General features: G+C 41.6%; 1 protein-coding gene across 17 annotated transcripts in view, besides 4 other annotated features; it reads right to left on the bottom strand.

Moving 5' to 3' along the window:
* The window catches only part of NPNT (nephronectin), a 76,201-nt gene extending 64,130 nt beyond the window's left edge, over window positions 1-12,071 (bottom strand). For 10 of the 17 annotated variants that reach the window (XM_005262888.5, NM_001184690.2, XM_047449985.1 and 7 more), the window contains exons 1-2: window positions 11,819-12,071; window positions 9,541-9,641 (exon numbers count right to left, since the gene is read on the bottom strand). In XM_005262888.5, coding sequence (XP_005262945.1) covers window positions 9,541-9,641; window positions 11,819-11,889 — 172 coding nt within the window. In that variant the 5' untranslated portion in view covers window positions 11,890-12,071. Of the gene's footprint in view, window positions 1-9,540; window positions 9,645-11,818 lie in introns of all 17 variants that reach the window. The other 7 variants (XM_011531820.3, XM_017007984.2, XM_011531823.3 and 4 more) reach the window with 1 other exon arrangement.
* Window positions 10,916-11,210: a silencer, noted in NCBI's record as "tiled region #231; K562 Repressive non-DNase unmatched - State 20:ReprD". NCBI's record gives its function as "represses a minimal TATA promoter and a strong SV40 promoter by Sharpr-MPRA in K562 cells {active_cell/tissue: K562}" and the evidence as "EXISTENCE:reporter gene assay evidence [ECO:0000049][PMID:27701403]".
* Window positions 11,449-11,658: a silencer, noted in NCBI's record as "silent region_15611". NCBI's record gives its function as "represses an Ori minimal core promoter by ATAC-STARR-seq in GM12878 lymphoblastoid cells {active_cell/tissue: GM12878}" and the evidence as "EXISTENCE:reporter gene assay evidence [ECO:0000049][PMID:35858748]".
* Window positions 11,819-12,388: a silencer, noted in NCBI's record as "silent region_15610". NCBI's record gives its function as "represses an Ori minimal core promoter by ATAC-STARR-seq in GM12878 lymphoblastoid cells {active_cell/tissue: GM12878}" and the evidence as "EXISTENCE:reporter gene assay evidence [ECO:0000049][PMID:35858748]".
* Window positions 13,313-13,362: a silencer, noted in NCBI's record as "silent region_15609". NCBI's record gives its function as "represses an Ori minimal core promoter by ATAC-STARR-seq in GM12878 lymphoblastoid cells {active_cell/tissue: GM12878}" and the evidence as "EXISTENCE:reporter gene assay evidence [ECO:0000049][PMID:35858748]".

Genomic DNA, 16,889 nt, shown 5'->3' with positions numbered 1-16,889 from the left:
TACCGTGAAGACAGAAAACCTCGGCCCTGGCAATGCTAACTTTCTCAGCTCGCTGCCACGTTGATATACGGTGACAATTCAGACAGGGAGATTCTTGGTTCACGCTAGTCTCTGCAGAAAAGGCGTTTGAAGACCTTCTCTTTGTTCCTCCCAAGGAGATGTGACACTTACTGGATTGCTGCACTCTCAGAATATGCATTGAGTCATAATTTTTAAAATCACTATTTGCTTTTTTTTGAGAGAGAAATTATCCTAGGGTATATGTGCATCAGGATTTCAGGTTCTATTGCCTAGGGCTTCAAGAGTACATGAGAATCAGCCCTTCCGCACACCCCAGTGAAAAGATGACTTAGGTTTGGGTACGGGATGTTGATATGCAGAGTATTTCCTACAGACTCTGCTTTGAGTCTGTTCAGGTCTAAGCAACTTATATAAATCAACCCTTATAAATCCAGGTGAATTAAGAAAACAGTTGAGGTTACTTTGACTCCCCGGAACACCTATAGCAATCAGGAACTTTGGGGAAATAAGCACTGGTCAGGGATTCTGTTGTTCCTGGGCTCACTGGCCCATATCCATGTATCAGCATCAGTAGGGTAAATGATGCCTGGGAACAATGTTCATGCCTTTCCTCCTTATTCCAAGCCATAACTGGCATGGAAATGAATATGTATATAGCAAAATGGTGGTGAATTTATATATTGCTATCCAATGGATACAAAATTGATATTAAAAAATCTCCCACTAATTTCTTTGCAGATCCTCCTTTTACTGGAGCCTAGGCGGGGCCCTATCCCTGCTCTATTCACAATGTCTCTGGATATCAACTCCATTAGTTGATTACTGATCTTCAAAATATATCGACTTAAAAAAGAAAGACAAAATGAACTGGCCTTTAATCTGTTAAATAATACAGCAAACTTCAGAACATTGTTAGTGATTCTAACCTGAAACTATCTTGTCTAATCCAGAGCTGTCCATCCAAAACCCTATACAGTTCATCCATCACAGCTAGATATTCTGGGCTGTATCTAGCTGAACGTCAGAAAGCTATGCACATAATGCTTCTTAAACTATGTATAGAACAGCTTTCCGTGAACTGTACTTTTAGAGTAAGGGCCTCATCTTATGTTGACGGATCTTCTATGAAACAGCTTTTCAAAAACCACCACTGGCTTCATGATAGGAATGTTGCTGTGGCCCCTTCCATCCCATCATTCACTCCCACTCCGTAAAGGGCCACGTGAAAGTCTTCGTTCAGAACTACATGCAGTAAAACCATAATTCCTCCCACATAACTTGTTTGCTTTTTCCCTGACAAACAACACAAATTAAATCAGCAATAACATCTTTTACCTTTGGCTACCAGAAGCTAGTAGCCAAATTGTAGGACATATGTAGGATCCTATGGCTTACATATCTGCATTTGAAAAACCCTCCTCCTAATATTTTTATTTTACCCCCATTTTCCTCCATGTAGCCCCTATTTCCTTATTTTAATTGTGTGAATTCCTGGAAGCCACTTTATATACTTTCCCAAACAAGATAGGGCATAAACAAATAGAAATAAAGAAATCAATTTAATTTATCTTTTAAGGTATCTTCTAAGGAATCAAAAATAGAAGATGACTGAACAGAAGGTTTCTACTCTGTAATATTAGCCATGATTTACTCTCCTTTACATTACAGATTAAACATAAGAAAATTTGTAGCAATAAAATGAAACCTCTTCAATTACTATACTAATACAGAAATCAAATGTCTTTAGATATGTCCTCCATATCTAAAGGTATACAACAGTGATGATGATATATGCAAATATTGATTGCAGCATGTTATGTAAAAACAAAATATTGAAAACCACTCAAAGGTACATAAATAGGGGATTTTTAAATTAATTATAGTACATTCATTCATGTAATGGCATACTGTATAGCCATTTAAAAGAATGAGTCAGGTTTAAATAAACTAATGAGGACTGCTTTCCAAAACGTAGTGTTACATGAAAAAAAAATCAAGATACAGAACCGTTTGTACTTCATGCCATCATTTATGAAAAAGGGAAATTTTGAAAATGTTAAGAAATCTCTACAAGGATCAATAGGAAACAGTGGTAGCCTGTGGGAAGGTGGAACTAGGTGTCAGGAAAACAGGAAAGTTAGAAATACTTACCTTCACTGCTGTCTTGCTCTTAGTATGTGTCTTTTAATTTTTCACCTAATCATGCATTTCTTACTTTTCTAAAAGGAGACAATTTAAGTATATAATTGGAATAAGGATTAGAATAACTATTAGAAAATATATGCCCCTATGGTTTTAAGGACACTACAAAAAGTATTTTGGTACAAAAATGTCTTAATATTTCCTGAAAATCTTTTTATCATAAACGGTGTCCCCAAAATGGTATTCAGATCTCAGAATTCTACATATTCCTCCTTAATAGGTTATAAGTCTAGAAAAAAAAAAAGCCCATACTATACACAAAGGTATAAAAATTATGGCTAATGGCCGGGCGCGGTGTCTCATGCCTGTAATCCCAGCACTTTGGGAGACCAAGGTGGGTGGATTACCTGAAGTCAGGAGTTCAAGACCAGCCAGACCAACACGATGAAACTCTGTCTCTACTAAAAATCAAGATACAGAATCTCTGTATCTTGTCTCTGGATATCAACTCCATCAGTTGATTACAAAAATTAGCTAGGTGTGGTGGTGTACACCTGTAATCCCAACTACTCGAGAGAGAGTGAGGCAGAATTGCTTGAACCCAGGAGGCGGAGGTTGCAGTGAGCCGAGATCCTGCCACAGCACTCCAGCCTGGGCAACAGAGTGAGACCCCGTCTCAAAGAAAAAAAAAATTATGGCTAAACTACAAAGATAATAAAAGATCAATGAATTAAGCAATTCCTAAAGGAATGCGTGGCTCTTTCTTACAAGTAAATGATAGGCAGGAAGCCACTGGGAGACCCTGGCAAATGGACACATCTCACTCCATTCTCCTAGCTTCAGCCCATTGCCTCTGGTCTGATGGGAAACAGATGATGGGAGCAGATGGACATTCACTGAGTTGTCAGAGGGATTTCTTGGGAAAGAAAAGGGATCAAAGAATCCTAAAATCAAGGAAAGATCAGACTCTGGATATGGGATTGTTGGAGCCTTTGGGTCAGCATCGCCATTCAGTCTTTCCCCTTAAACTATCTTCTCTACTGAGTAAGAAGTCATTGGGCAATTGATAAAAATTACAAATGTATCTGCCATTTGACCACATATAAAAATTTATTTTGCAGAAACACTAAGAACATGCAAAACAACATCTTTAACATATGTTCAAAGTTTTTTTAGAATTGCTTGTGTTAGCAAAAAATTAGAATCAACATAAATGTTCATCAGTAAGAGACTTGCTAATAAATTACAGTATAGCCATACAATGGAATGCTGAGTGCATAAAAAAGTAAGGAGGCAGCTGGGCAAGATGGCTCACGCTTATAATCCCAGCACTTTGGGAGGCTGAGGTGGGCAGATCAGTTGAGCTCAGAGCTGGAGACCAGCCTGAGCAACATGGCAAAACCCAGTCACTACAAAAAATACAAAAATTATCCAGGTGTGGTCGCTCACACCTGTGGTCCCAACTACTCAGGAGGCTGAGGTGGGAGGATGGCTTGAGCCCAGGAGGTAAGGGTTCTAGTGAGCCAAGATTATGCCACTGCACTCCAACCTGGGCGACAGAGCAAGACCCTATCTCAAAAAAAAAAAAAAAAAAAGTAAGAAGGTCTATAAATAAAACCTTTCAACATGTACAGTTAAGAAAAAGCAGCAGCATACAAAGCAGTGTATATAGTATGCTTTCATTTGTACAAAACAAGTGGGTGATAGGGGAGAGATCTATTGCAATTTACCCATAAGTAGGTAAAATATTTTTTAAAGTATACCAAAAACTAATCATGCTTGTTGCTCTGAGGAGGGATATTTAAGGAAATGAATACATTTTCTCCTACAAAATAAATTAATATTTTCCAAAGATTGGTGGAAAAATTTAAAATATTGCACAAAATCAATGGGAAAGCGGCAAGAGTGTCTGCATGTGGCAGTGGGGGGCAATAATGAGGGTTAGGCCATCAGAATCCCTCTCCCTTGCCCTTCCATCTCCCCTGTGATGAAGGCCCACCCCTGTGATGAATATCTTCCCTTACCCACTGAAAGACACTGCATAGAATCATTGAGCTTCACTAATTATCATCTGGAAAGCATACAGTGGATTCAACTAACTCAAAATGCAAAGAACATGAATTCTGTAGATAAAAAGCAACAAAAAGAAATGCTGGAAGTTACACACAGGAGGTGAGGGAGAAGACACCTACATTTTTTAAAGCATATCAAAAATTTCCACAAAGCAAACACAGTGTTGTTTCTGGCACCAGAAGTGCCTTCTTGGTCCCAGTGTGTACATGCGTGGGCAACTTCAAGCAGCATATCCCTGTGGCAGGTATTTGAGGACAGATCTAGTTGCTGAACTGGCAGAGAGGAGAGTGCTTCCCTTTAGTTGGCCTGGCCTTCTAGCTTAAGAAGTACTAAAATTTCTAATCCATAAAGGTTAAGACCTGGCCAGATTAAGCTTATGAAGGGATTTCAGGAAATTAGTAGATCTTAATAGTATTACATAAAGATCAGTTCTGATTGGGGAAAAGAATAAAAGAGCAAAGCAATTTCTCTGAAACTTAACTTTGAAGACTACACATACTAACAAATTACCTGTTTGAAAAGGTCAAGATTCTTCAACGCTGATCTTACTTTGGAATCTGCATTCCAAGACCACTTGAAGTTACCCAAAGGTACATGATGTTCTTAAACAACCTTTCAAGGAAAGTGGCAGTTAAATAATCTTAATCAAAAACTTCACTTCCTAAGGATTTGTGGATTCAAGTTTAATGTTGCAAGTAATCAAAATTATTCCTTGCCTTGCTTTTATTCCTACCTAAAAGCAAACAAACAAAAAACAGATTCTGCATTCTCACCTCAAAATTAGAGGAGGAAGCTACTACACTAAGGACAATGAAGTGTACTCCGCTCCACCAAGCTGGCCCCAGAATTCTGCTAGCAATCTTCAATATACATGTAAACAGTACAATCCCCACCCCTTTTGAGAGCCCCTGTTACTTTTTGGGTGCATACAGGTATAAAAATTGCTTTACGTTTAAAATACTAACTCATGTTCAATGGAAGTTGTCATAGTTGTTGACCTCAAATAGAAAGGCATTTACTAGTATAACCTCTCTGTGGAGGGAACACTATGTGTGGCCTTCAAAACAAATTCTAACATTCTAACAGCTCTAATTTTCTCTTGATTATTTTAAAGAGAGTATTCAAAATCCAAATAATCAAAGAAATATATAATCTATATAGTTTTGTGATTATGGACAGGAAGTTAATAACCAGTTTAGGGAGCAAAAATAAATCATGTTCCATTTATAAGACTGAGTATCTGAACCCAGATAGGAGAAAGAAATGAAACATGAAATTTAAATATTTTGTTTACTAAATCAAAATTCTCTGCTCAAACTAATAGCCTTTTCATTTGAAATGCAGAAAGAAATAATTCAATAATTTTTTCATCACTTCCAATATCCACAATCATTAGCCAGTAATATATATTATCCAACTAAAATTATTTGACCACTCCAAAACAGCTTCAGAATGAATTACTATATCTCAGTCCCTATGTTTCACTAACCTGTAAGTTTATCTGAAGCCGATAAGAATCCAAAATTTTCACTTTACGTGGAAGAGGCAGCAGGAGGTTCAGAGCTAACTAAGCAAGGTCAATCTGTAGGTGTAGGTTTCACATCTTTCCAAAATCTCCAGCAGAAACATAAGAAAACATCTCAATTTTCCCTGTTCTTAAGGATAAATGATACAAAACCATCCTAATTCACATAATTTCCTTCAGAAACCACAAGTTGCTCAATGACAGCCAAAGAACTCAGAAACGGAATAGTTTTGTTAAACCTTGGAACTGGTTGTATTTTTAGTTTTTCTTCACACTTCTATAAAATGCTTTTAACAAAAATGCTATTGTCATAAGCCACATATACAGTCAAATCTCCGAGTAAACAGAAGGACAACCATACAAAAATACAATATTTAGATCCTATATAGTTTTTCTACATTAAGGAAGTTTTCAGTTGCAGTTTAGAGCTTCAACATACCTTGGAAATATGCTTGTGTAATAAGAAAACTGTAGCTGAGAAATGTTAGACACCTATTCAGGTACAAAAGTCAGAACTTGAACTCAGTTATCCTAAATTATCTAGTGCTTTTGGTTAACAATTGTTTCCACAGTGTACACAGCTTTTAAAGATGAAATATGCAACCCTGAAAAATCTTTGTTACAGAGGTCTCCACTTGGTAGAAGGAGAGAAATAAAAGCATAATTAAAATATGCCATCAAAATGACAAAAAAATTACAGAGCAAGAAACACACATTTTGTGACAAACCTCTGAGTGGTTTAAGATGCTGTGTGCTGCAAATATGCAATCATCAGTGTGTGAACATATTAAAAAATTTTCACCTGACAATAAACAGCCACATCAATAGTCAATAAAAGTAAAGCCCATGACAGTTAGAAAATCAAATGTTGAATTTTCAATATGCTAGAGATCTGTTTAAGAGTCAAGAACACAAAACAAAGAATCAAAAAAAAAAAAAAAAAAAACAACCAAGGGTATGACCTACAAAAGAACTATGAAAACACAACCTGCCTATTTCTGGAACGGGTCATGCTTTCCCTAGCAGGCAGGAATGTTGGGATAGAATGTTGGGTGGTACAGGCAGGAAGCAGCAGGACAGGTTCTATGCCCATTTGAGTAGCATCTCTGATCCTTCCTTCCTGAGTCCTAGAGGGAAGGATATAAAGTTTCCCAGCTATATCTGGCTCTGCTTAGACATAGTGAGCCAGAAGGAGAGGTCTACCAGCTTTAGCATCCTGCAACATTAGTCGGTTTCTCCAAACAAGACCATGGATAGGAAGATAGCAAGTGAAAATGAAGGGCAGCATGTTTTGTACAGATACGTACATTTGACTCACATGAATATTAAGTCAAACATCTCACAAATGCTCAACCAAACGGAATAAACACTCACCAAAGGGTCACTGCACTAAGGCATAAGGTCTGTTAAATAATATAATGAGGGTACCACCACCTTTCCCTACCTACAAACACACCTTCTATGGGATAAGTTGGGAAGATCTATGCAGTAATGGGAATAGTTTCTTTTTGTTTTGCTATGCTGTTTTGAAGGAAAATTCCAAAGTGAATCATTCAGAAAAGAAGAGAACCAGAGCACCTCTGATGAGGAAGGGAGAATAGCCCTTCCTTATGGGAAAGAACTACATGATTATCTAAAGGTCGAAAAGGCAAAAACATTTCTCACATTAAATTCGCTAGAAGTTCTTTGGAATCTTTATAAGGAATCATATTAGATTGAATTGTTATACAATAGCAAGGCATTTTCTTGAACAAACGTAGTGACAAAACTTTTAATTTCATAAAGACTTTCTTTAAAATAATCAAGAGTTTTCAGAGATATTTCATTCAATCTGATCAGCCTCTTTTTGGTTTGTTCTGCCCCTTCAAGCTTACTTCTCAGCCCCACATTCCTCTACCTGCTTATATCAAAACAAAGACAGGCAGAACTCTGAACTGACAAGAGACATTTGCGCCATCTAAGATGCTGGAAAAATAAAATACACAGAAGGAAACATTCACCTTTGAGCTAATTTTTACAACCTCACCAACTTCAATGTTAATAGTAAAGAACCATTTGTGCCTTTTTAATTGAAAGGGATTTTATTTCACTGTAACATAGAAAACCTTGGAACTACTTTGATTTTGGAAGTATAAACATAAAAGGTGAAGCAAACGAATGTTTGCCTAACTGCTATGTGCGAGCTGCTTGGCTAGACCCTTTGCACGGGGGGTCAATTACATTCTGTTAAAGGGAGATGGTGGTAACTCCAGTTTCCAGTAAACAAAAGAAGTAGGCAAAGCTGCTGTACACTCACTGGTTAGTCTATTCAATATTGTTTTAAGGGAAGATGATCAAAAAAGAAGAATGGTGCCTGGTGGAATTTAGTCTTCTGTAGTATCAGAAGTATTTGCACAGCTGGAGACTGCAGGTATAGAACTACTCATTTTTCACTCAGGAGGGTTATGTGTAGGTGTGTTGGGCCAACAGAAGGGTCCTTTCTTCACATTTTGGTTATTAGAATCTGTTGGTTCTCAAATTCCATACCAGGTAGGCAAACATTCATTTCCTTTACCTTTCTATTCCCAACCAGAGATTGTGGTCTTTATGTGCAATTAGAGTCAATCTGTGACTGTCACTGTCCCTCTTTCACAAAATTAAGGAAGACATTGCAAGCATCCTCAAAAATTAAAATAGCAGAGGGAACTCCTAACTTTCCTGAACTTAAATTTGCCTGACTCCTCACACTAGCAACCCATCTCTAAGGCAGGCTTCTCCATTGCCAGCTCTAGCCTTCGTAACTGCCCTTCTCTCTTCCTCTAAGCCTCCTCCTCATTAGCAATAAAATATATATCCCAATGTAGAACCCAACTTAGTTCCCATCATCTTACCAGAAGTGCCCCCTACCCCCGCCCCAAGCACTCTAAGGGTGCTCTGGAAAGGTACTTGATCATTTGAAGACTATTTTTTTGCAGTAGGAGTGAGATACAATTTTAAGATCGCGATAAAATGCTGGGGACAAATTTCCTAAATTTCTCAAACTCTTTTGATGTAGCTCTAAATTTTACCATTAAAATATCCATTTGTGGTCACAGAAAAGGTGAAAATCAGCTTTCTGATTTGGTACTTATTACATGAGGTTGGTTACTTATAGAACTTACAAATAATGTTGTTTCAGTGGCTTTGTTTCATTATACTGGGTGGTCCATTTAAAACACTGTCAATACAACCCCAGTCCAAAAAAGGATTTACAAATGGGCCACTTTACACAACAGCTATGGTGAGGATTATATAAGTACTCTAAGGTTCAGAGTTTATTTTGTGTAAATACGGTCTAGACTCATTATCTTATCCCCAGTGTAAATACGGTCTAGACTCATTATCTTATCCCCATCTCCCAGCCTGGAGCAAGCGAGTCAGCGAGAGAGAGAGAGAGAGAGAGAGAGAGAGAGAGAGAGAGAGAGAGAGAGAGACAGAGAGAGAGAGAGACAGAGAGAGAGAGAGAGAGAGAAATAAACCTGGTAAGAAAACAGGAAGGAGATGCAGATTTGGGGGGAAAAATGCTAAAAGAAACATTTAAGGTGGCTCTCTGTGAATGACAAAGCTGGGCCGTAATACAGGTGGCTAAAGCTGAAAAGAAGCAGAATAAGGAGTCTGGACTGTACCTGAAAATCCCCAAGTCAGACCTGCAAGGCCAAGCCTTGCTCAGTAATGAACCCTCTGATATGTGGGGTGAAGCCATGAACAAGGTGGAAAGCCACACCTCCCAGGGAACTGAAGTCCCCAGGCTTGATACTCACGCTGACACTGTCCCCAAGACTGGCGAGCCCAGCCCCAGCAGCAGTCAATCCTCCCACCATAACGACATAGGCCAATCGATGACACTATTTGCCTGGGCCACCTACCAAAAAAAAAGATTCAAAATAAATAAGGACACTTTTGAGAAGAAAGGTAATTTCCTCTGTATTATTACTTCAGAAAAAATGTCAACCACACCCAACAATTTTCTACAAACTCTTTTATGCCTGCAGAAATTTAAGGTTAAAACACCTTCACAGAAATAGTTCTGCTATGATCTAATGTCAAATTTCAGACAGTTAAATACCCCATCCCCCAACACACAAGGGTAGGAGAAAAAACGGGAGGGAAAGATGCTTTCTTAAGTAGAAATAGCACCAGCTAACACCAACAATTCTCAAGGCTGCCACTCACAGGATAGTTTCTGAAGCTTGAAATAAAACAGATTCCTCAAAGACCCACACCTGTTACTGGGGTGAAAGCCAGGTTTGACTGATTCACCATAAACTGAAAAGTATTAAGTAAGACATGTCAAAGCAGAAAAAATTTCTGCCTCATATAAAAGGTGGATGGGGGAAGGAGCAGAAAGGTTTCTCAAAAATCAAGTGTAACAGAGCTCTTTTTGAGACATAACTGTGGCAGAAACAAAAAAAACAAAAAAGTACTAGAAAAAAGTCTAAATAAAACCAAGGAGAGTTTAAAGTGTAGCTGATATCTCAAGTATCCTTGTGGTTTGAAACGTGCTTAGATCAACAATTCATAGTATTTTCCTCTCTAATGTAAATAATGCCTAAAGAAAGTAATTTCAGGATACAGATTTATCCACCTGATTACACGTTGACACATTATTTGCTAAATTGTTTCCTTGTTTAGAGTCACACCTAAATGACTTTTTTCCTCTGGGTATCAACATTTTAATTTGCTGTTTTAGACATCTTTTTAAAGTTACAAAAAGCTATATGCATTCACATCATATGCATATCTTGTGATGGGTTTCTTGTTGCAAATATGTGTGCAAGAAATGCATAACATACCCAAATGTGAGCACAGAATTGCTTTTAAAAATAAAATAAAAAGGTCTACACTCTGGCTGCTATCACGTTTTCTTAAAGTCTCCTTATCTTTTTCAATTCCCCTTTTCTTTTACCTGCCTTTCTACCCCCAGGCCCAAAGTACAAAATAACCCCGAACTTTCTATTTCCTCCGACCAGGTAGTGAACAAGCAGCTGTGCTTTTTCTTGGCGCTCCACTGGTTCCCCTCCGTTCGCCTCCGGGTACAAGAAAGCGAATCAATTGTGGAATTGATTCGTTCCAAGATTAAAGGTAAAACAGGTGCGGCATCTTTCTTTAGGACTAGGCAGGGACCTACACGGAGGGGTGGGGGCAGAGGTCGCTGAAGGAAGGCGACCGGGCGACGGTGTGCGCCAGAGTAAAACCTCTTTTCGCAGCAGCCATCTGCACCCGGGACGAGCCTAGTCTGTAATTGCACAGAGGTGAGGGGGACCGAGCACACCCTCCCGACAGACCCAGTGTCTCTCACACACCGGAGCGGCCCCGGAGCGCGGGAGGACCGGCTGAGTGACAGCGGAGACGCGGCCCGAGGTTGTTGGAACCTGTCACAGCACGCCGCCGTCAGGCTCGCCCGAGTCTGAGGAGCGGCGCAGTGTGTGCGCTCTCACACACACATCCACACACTCATGCTCACATTCACGGAGCGCCCACCCTCCGGTCCTCATTTTGAGTCTCCTTCCCTCAAGAAAACCAAATGGAGAGGCCCACAAATCTCCCCCGTAGCCCAGTCGCTGACTCGCACCCACTCTCTGTGTGAGCGGCCCCGAGAGCCCTGAGCAGAGCCCGGGCCTCCCCCCGGGGGCCTGGAAGCTTCCCCAGTGAAGAGCCGTCTAGTTCAGGCGCGGGAGTTTCCCGGGTAAGGGATGTTTCGCGCGTCACCTCGGCGTAGGTGGCTAAACCGCGCCCTCAGAGCCGAGATCCCAGGCTCCAGCGGCTCCTCTCCCTCAGTCCTAATTCCCGAGCCGGGGCGAGTCGCCCTCGGGGGGCCGCGGATGGGGTCCCAGACTCGCAAGGGCGCGCCCTCTCCGCCTCGGGCGGGCACTCGGAGCCGCTGGACCGCTCTCCTCGCGCCACGCTGTGCGGTGGCCCAACTTCTGGATGGAGGAGACGCCTCTCTGACCACGAAACCCCGCGGGGAAAAGTGACCCAAGACAGTGAGTGTGAAATTAGCGCGGGAAGGAGGAGAGGGCGCCCCGGGGCCCAGCTCACCTCCCGTCGAACTCGGCGGCCGCCTGCAGGTAGAGCGAGGATACCAGCACCAGCGCCAGGAGAAAATCCATGTTGGGCAGCGGGTCCTGGGGCGCAGCGCAGTGGCGCGCGAGGAACAGGTTGGGGTGGTGGGCGCCGATGGGAGGCGCCCCTCTGAGAGTCTCGAGGAACCCCCAGCCCTCGCCGCCCGGGCTACTGCTGCCGCTCCCGGAGGACAGCGGCGAGGCGCGCGGCCGGAGCAGGTCTGCTGCGCGGCGCCCGGAGCCCCCTCCCGCTCCCTTCTAGCTAGGGGAGGCGCTGCAGGGGTAGCTGCACCGCCCGCGGGGAGGGGCGCCAGGGGCGGGCAGGGGGTGCGCGTGCGCCCGACTCGCCGCCCTCCCAGCCCCGGGCGAAGGGTGAGCGCGCTCCGCTCCTCCCGGGGGCCCAGCGGGGCAGGCAACTCGGGGGCAGGGGCGCTGCGGGACGGCAGTGGCTCTTGGGGGTTAGCCAAGCAGGGCGAGCCCCAGCCTGGGAGAAAAGTTGCAAACCCTCTCTGGGAGAGGGAAAGCAGGGTGCCCAGCAGGAAAGGGGAGTGGAGGAGGAAAGGAGCCCGAGGCGTAGGTGCACGCTCCGCAGGTTCCGCCCGAACAGGTGGTGACTGCAGGGGCGAGCAGTAGCTTTCACCGGAGGGCGGAGAAGCCCTAGAGCAGAGAGGTTTATGGGGCTGGAGCTGAGCAGTGTCTGCATTTACTAAAACCACAGCACGACTTGGACAAATTAGCGAAGGCAAACTCTGGGAGTTTGCTTTTCCCGCAGAGTTGGCAAAGGCATATTTTTTATTTTGTAACTAACCAAAAGAAATATTTGGCTCTCCAGTCGGGTTTTGAAGAAGAAATGAGCAGACTGTTTCTGTCTCTATCAGCTCAACTCCCGAGCACATTAGGACAGGACTGCCCCTCTAGGGATGAGTGCCTGCCAGAGAGGAAGGGCTGCTACTGCCTAGTAGTGTTGTGGTGCCTGATCTTGAGGGGATCACTTAGAAACCATTTTAAGTAATCATTGTTCAGTTGTTGCAGAGTAAAAAGTATTGTACTAAATGACTGTGTTCAAATGAAAACATGATTATCCTAAGATGTACATGAGCCCAATCAAGTCACCCCTCTTCCCAACCTTACCTCGAATGACAGCCTTGTGCAGTGATCATCTGTCATCTCCCGTACCTCTCAATGTCCTCATTTCTCTTCCTCCAGTCCATGGCCTCCTTGCCTTTCTTGCATGTTCCAGGCATGCCCCTGCCTTGGGGCCAGTAACTGGCTGTTTTCTCTATCTGGACCCAAATATCTACATGGCTCACACCCTCACTTCCTTCAGTCTTTGCTCAAATGTCACCTCTTCCAGGAGGCCAATCATGATCATCCTATTTAAAACTGCAACTTGCCCTCTGCAAATATCTACATGGCACACGCCCTCACTTCCTTCAGTCTTTGCTCAAATGTCACACCTCTTTGAAGAGGCCAGTCATGACCATCCTATTTAAACCTCTAACTTGCCCTCCTTCTGATGATCCTTGGCCTGTCCTACTTTGTCTTTTCTCCATACCACTCATCTTTTATATTACTATATAACTTGCATATTTTTTGTTTGTATGTTTTCTTTCCGCTAGAATGCAAGCTGTACAAAGGCAGGTATCTTTATCACCTAGAACACTGCCTGGCACATAGTAGGTGCTCATAAATGTTTATTCAATTCATTTGCTACATTACAAACGTTTTCCCCCCATCTTCATTTTCTTTTTGAGGTTTCTACAACTTCAAATTTTTAATGGAAAGTTCTGTGGTAGGGTGATTCACTATCCTGATCATTCAGTGTGTGTAAAAACAGGAATTTTCTTCAAGGAAAGGAAAAATAATGGTTTCAACTTAAATGGCTCTTTGATTTCTAAGTTGTTTTCAGTTAGCAAAACAAGTTTCTATTTTAATCTCAAGAAAGATCCATGCCAATTCAGGCTTGGGACATTATTTTAGGCAAACAGCTTGGTGTCATCCATTTCAGGTCCTTCTAATGAAGTCCAAAAATGTAGGAGTCAAAATATTTTTTCTGCAGAAAATCAAATTTTTGTAAGTGTAGGCATGGTTCCAGGTTCCAGTGGCTACTCCTTAGCTGTTTTTGTTTGTTGGTTGGTTAGTTGGTGCCTGGGTTAGATTTACAAATAAACCTCACTGTGTGCAATGGATGATTAGAGAGAAAGGGGGTAATATACGGCTAAAAAACTGGAGATCTAAGGAAAAGACGAAGAGTGGTGGATGAAAACAGGATAAATAACTGGAGGGAAAAGTGTAATGCCCCATCTACATGCGTCTTTCTTTTGTTTTCCATATATTTGCTTTGGCCTAGAAAACACTCCTTCTTCATTTAAATTTAGCCTCCTCTTCATTCCTCTTCCTTCTTCATTTGGACAATCTCCCCTTACCCTTTGAGTTTAAATTTAGCCGACAGTCCCCCAGGAAGCCTTTTCTGACTTTTTGATTGGCTGAGACTAGTGTTTTATATACTTCTATTACACTTAGCATGCTCTAAGGTAGCTCTTAATGTATTGTGTTGTCATTGCCTCCCTACCACTCTGGGTCCCGTGAGACATTAGTCTAACCAATAGAAGGGCCAGGGCAGTGTCTGTCTTGTCACTATATCCCTTATCCCCAGCACAATGCCTGGCACAAAGCTTAAGTTCAGCAAAGATTAAACAGATGGATTGGATTAAATTGAATTCTGCCTGTGAACTTTAGCTTCTCCCTTCAGTAAAATGTAGCTAATTATATCAGTCTTTGTTAAATCATGGAATAAGGAGAATCTAAAGGATTTCCAAGGTCTAACTGGTTATTATGCTGCAACTATGACCACCAATGATCATTCCGAAAAAGAGGCAGAGTTGCCATGGGAGTGACATTTCATTATCTCAGTCTTAAAAACAAATGAGCAAGAATGAGATCAAAACAGCTAGCTTTTAGCAATAACTACTTTTTCAGGAGGACAAACTTTTGATAGGCTTCTTACCAGGTAATGACACCTTGCAGGTAGTAATCTCAATTTTCTCGTGCACAAATAATTTTCTGTGACCATTCATAATGTGATACAGATAAATAGCAAAACAGAATCAAACAAACACAACTTCAGACCTTTCAAATTTAGAAGCTCATAGTCTTTTTTCTTTTCAGTAAATATTTATTAAGGACCTATAATGTATTGGCCATTTCTAGCTAGGTGCTAGGATTTCAGCTAAGGACAAGACAAAGTCCTGCCCTGAAAGGGTTTACATTCCAGTGGGGGAGCAATACAGAAGGACTATGTAGAGAAAAAAGGAGTAAGGAGAGGATAAAGGGAGGTTACGGTTGTAGAAAATGATGGAGGTGTGATTGTAGATGGAGTGCTTTGGTCACCTTTGGGGAAGTAACATTTGAGCAGAGACTGAATGAAGTGAGGGAGAGAGCCACGTGAGGGTGTGGGATGCAGCCCATGTCCACGCAGACAGTAGAGCGGTGTGTTTTCTCTATCAAGCTCTGAAATGACTTCTCATAGTTGGTGTCATACAAACCATTAAACAAGATATTGCTCCCTCTCTTCCCACACCCCATACACAGTAGTGGCACAGGCATAGGATGACTGCTTTTAAAAGCTCCTATTAAGATAAAGATACACATAGCTTCTTGTTCACAGCAATTTTGACTCACAGCTGAGCAAGAATTATGGAGACTCTCTGTTCTGGCAGTGCAGAAAGTGCCTTGGTTAGACATTTGGGATACTCTGCTTCTCTTAGAGGAACTACCTTGTCCATAATTTTCCATAGCCATATCAGAAGTGACTGTTACAGAAAATGCCTTCCTAGGGGGCTGCATATCATTCACAACCCCTTTTCTGCTGATAAAAATTTGAAGGCTTGAGTATTGCTTTAAGGAGCTAACAGATTCATGGTTTCTGTGGCAACTAGATTTCCTTAAAACCGTAATAGGCTTCTGATCTAATTGCTTCCAGTCAGTTGCTTGTGGAAATAACAGCAAAGTCTTTTCTAGTCCTAGTTCTGAAGGCTGCTCTATTTCTTTGCTTCCTTGTATCCATACTTTACTTTCTCATCTTAATGGAGGGCCACCTTGAGGCTAGCTGAAATAATAGTGTTGCTTAGGAGGGCGATACCTTACTCTGATCCTTGCCACAAGGCTTGGATCCCTGCATTTTTATTAATGTTTGGGTCACAAAAACAGCTGTCTTCTTCAGCCCTGAGAGGCCCTTAATTTCTGGACATTCTCACTTCCTTCCATTTCTGCTTGCAAAGCAGCCAGTTCTTGCCTGAGTTCATCTTTCTTATGATACCTTACTTAAATCAACAAAGAACAGTGAAGTACGCTAACATTCTCATTTTTACAACTATATTCCTTTGACTTGGATATGTGATGTGCCTTCCAAGTTATTATAGATAACAATTTTATGAAATAGCATAAGCATCACCAGCTTTCTAGCCTACACAGAGCAGCTATAGTTATGCCTTGTAAAACCACAGTCCAACTGAATAATCCCTCCAATGACTTCCCATCATAAACAGAGCAAAAAAACTCTTTGCTCTGCCCCCCTACCTATATCTTTAATTGCAAATTTGCCTGACCATTAAGAAAATGCAGGGTTTTAAATTAAGAAAGCATCTTTTCTGGTACCAATTTCTATGTCAGTTAAGGTGAAAGGTTAAAATGCTACAACAAAGAGCCCCAAAATATAATGACTTTCAAAAGATAGAAATTATTTCTTCACCATGTAACAGTCTGAAGAGAGTGTATCAGGTTGGTGGACAGCTCTGTTCCATGAGGTCTTTCAGGTCCCAGCCTGACAGTGACTCTCTCACCTTCACAGTCACTCTAATAGTTACCATTCTAGCTAGTGAGATGGAGGAAAAGGAAGTATGGAGGAGGCACAATTGTTCTTGTAAGGACTAGAGCCAGGAAATAGCACCTATTAATGCTGTTCCCTTTCACTGGAAAGAACTAGATCAGATAGTCACATGCAATTGCAAGGGAGACTGGAAAATATAGCCTAGTCATTAACTCAACCT

The sequence above is a fragment of the Homo sapiens genome, chromosome 4, assembly GCF_000001405.40.
Source record: "Homo sapiens chromosome 4, GRCh38.p14 Primary Assembly".
NCBI lineage: Eukaryota > Metazoa > Chordata > Mammalia > Primates > Hominidae > Homo > Homo sapiens.
The sequence above is the reverse complement of the archived record's forward strand: the minus strand, read 5'-3'. Positions and strand labels throughout refer to the sequence as shown.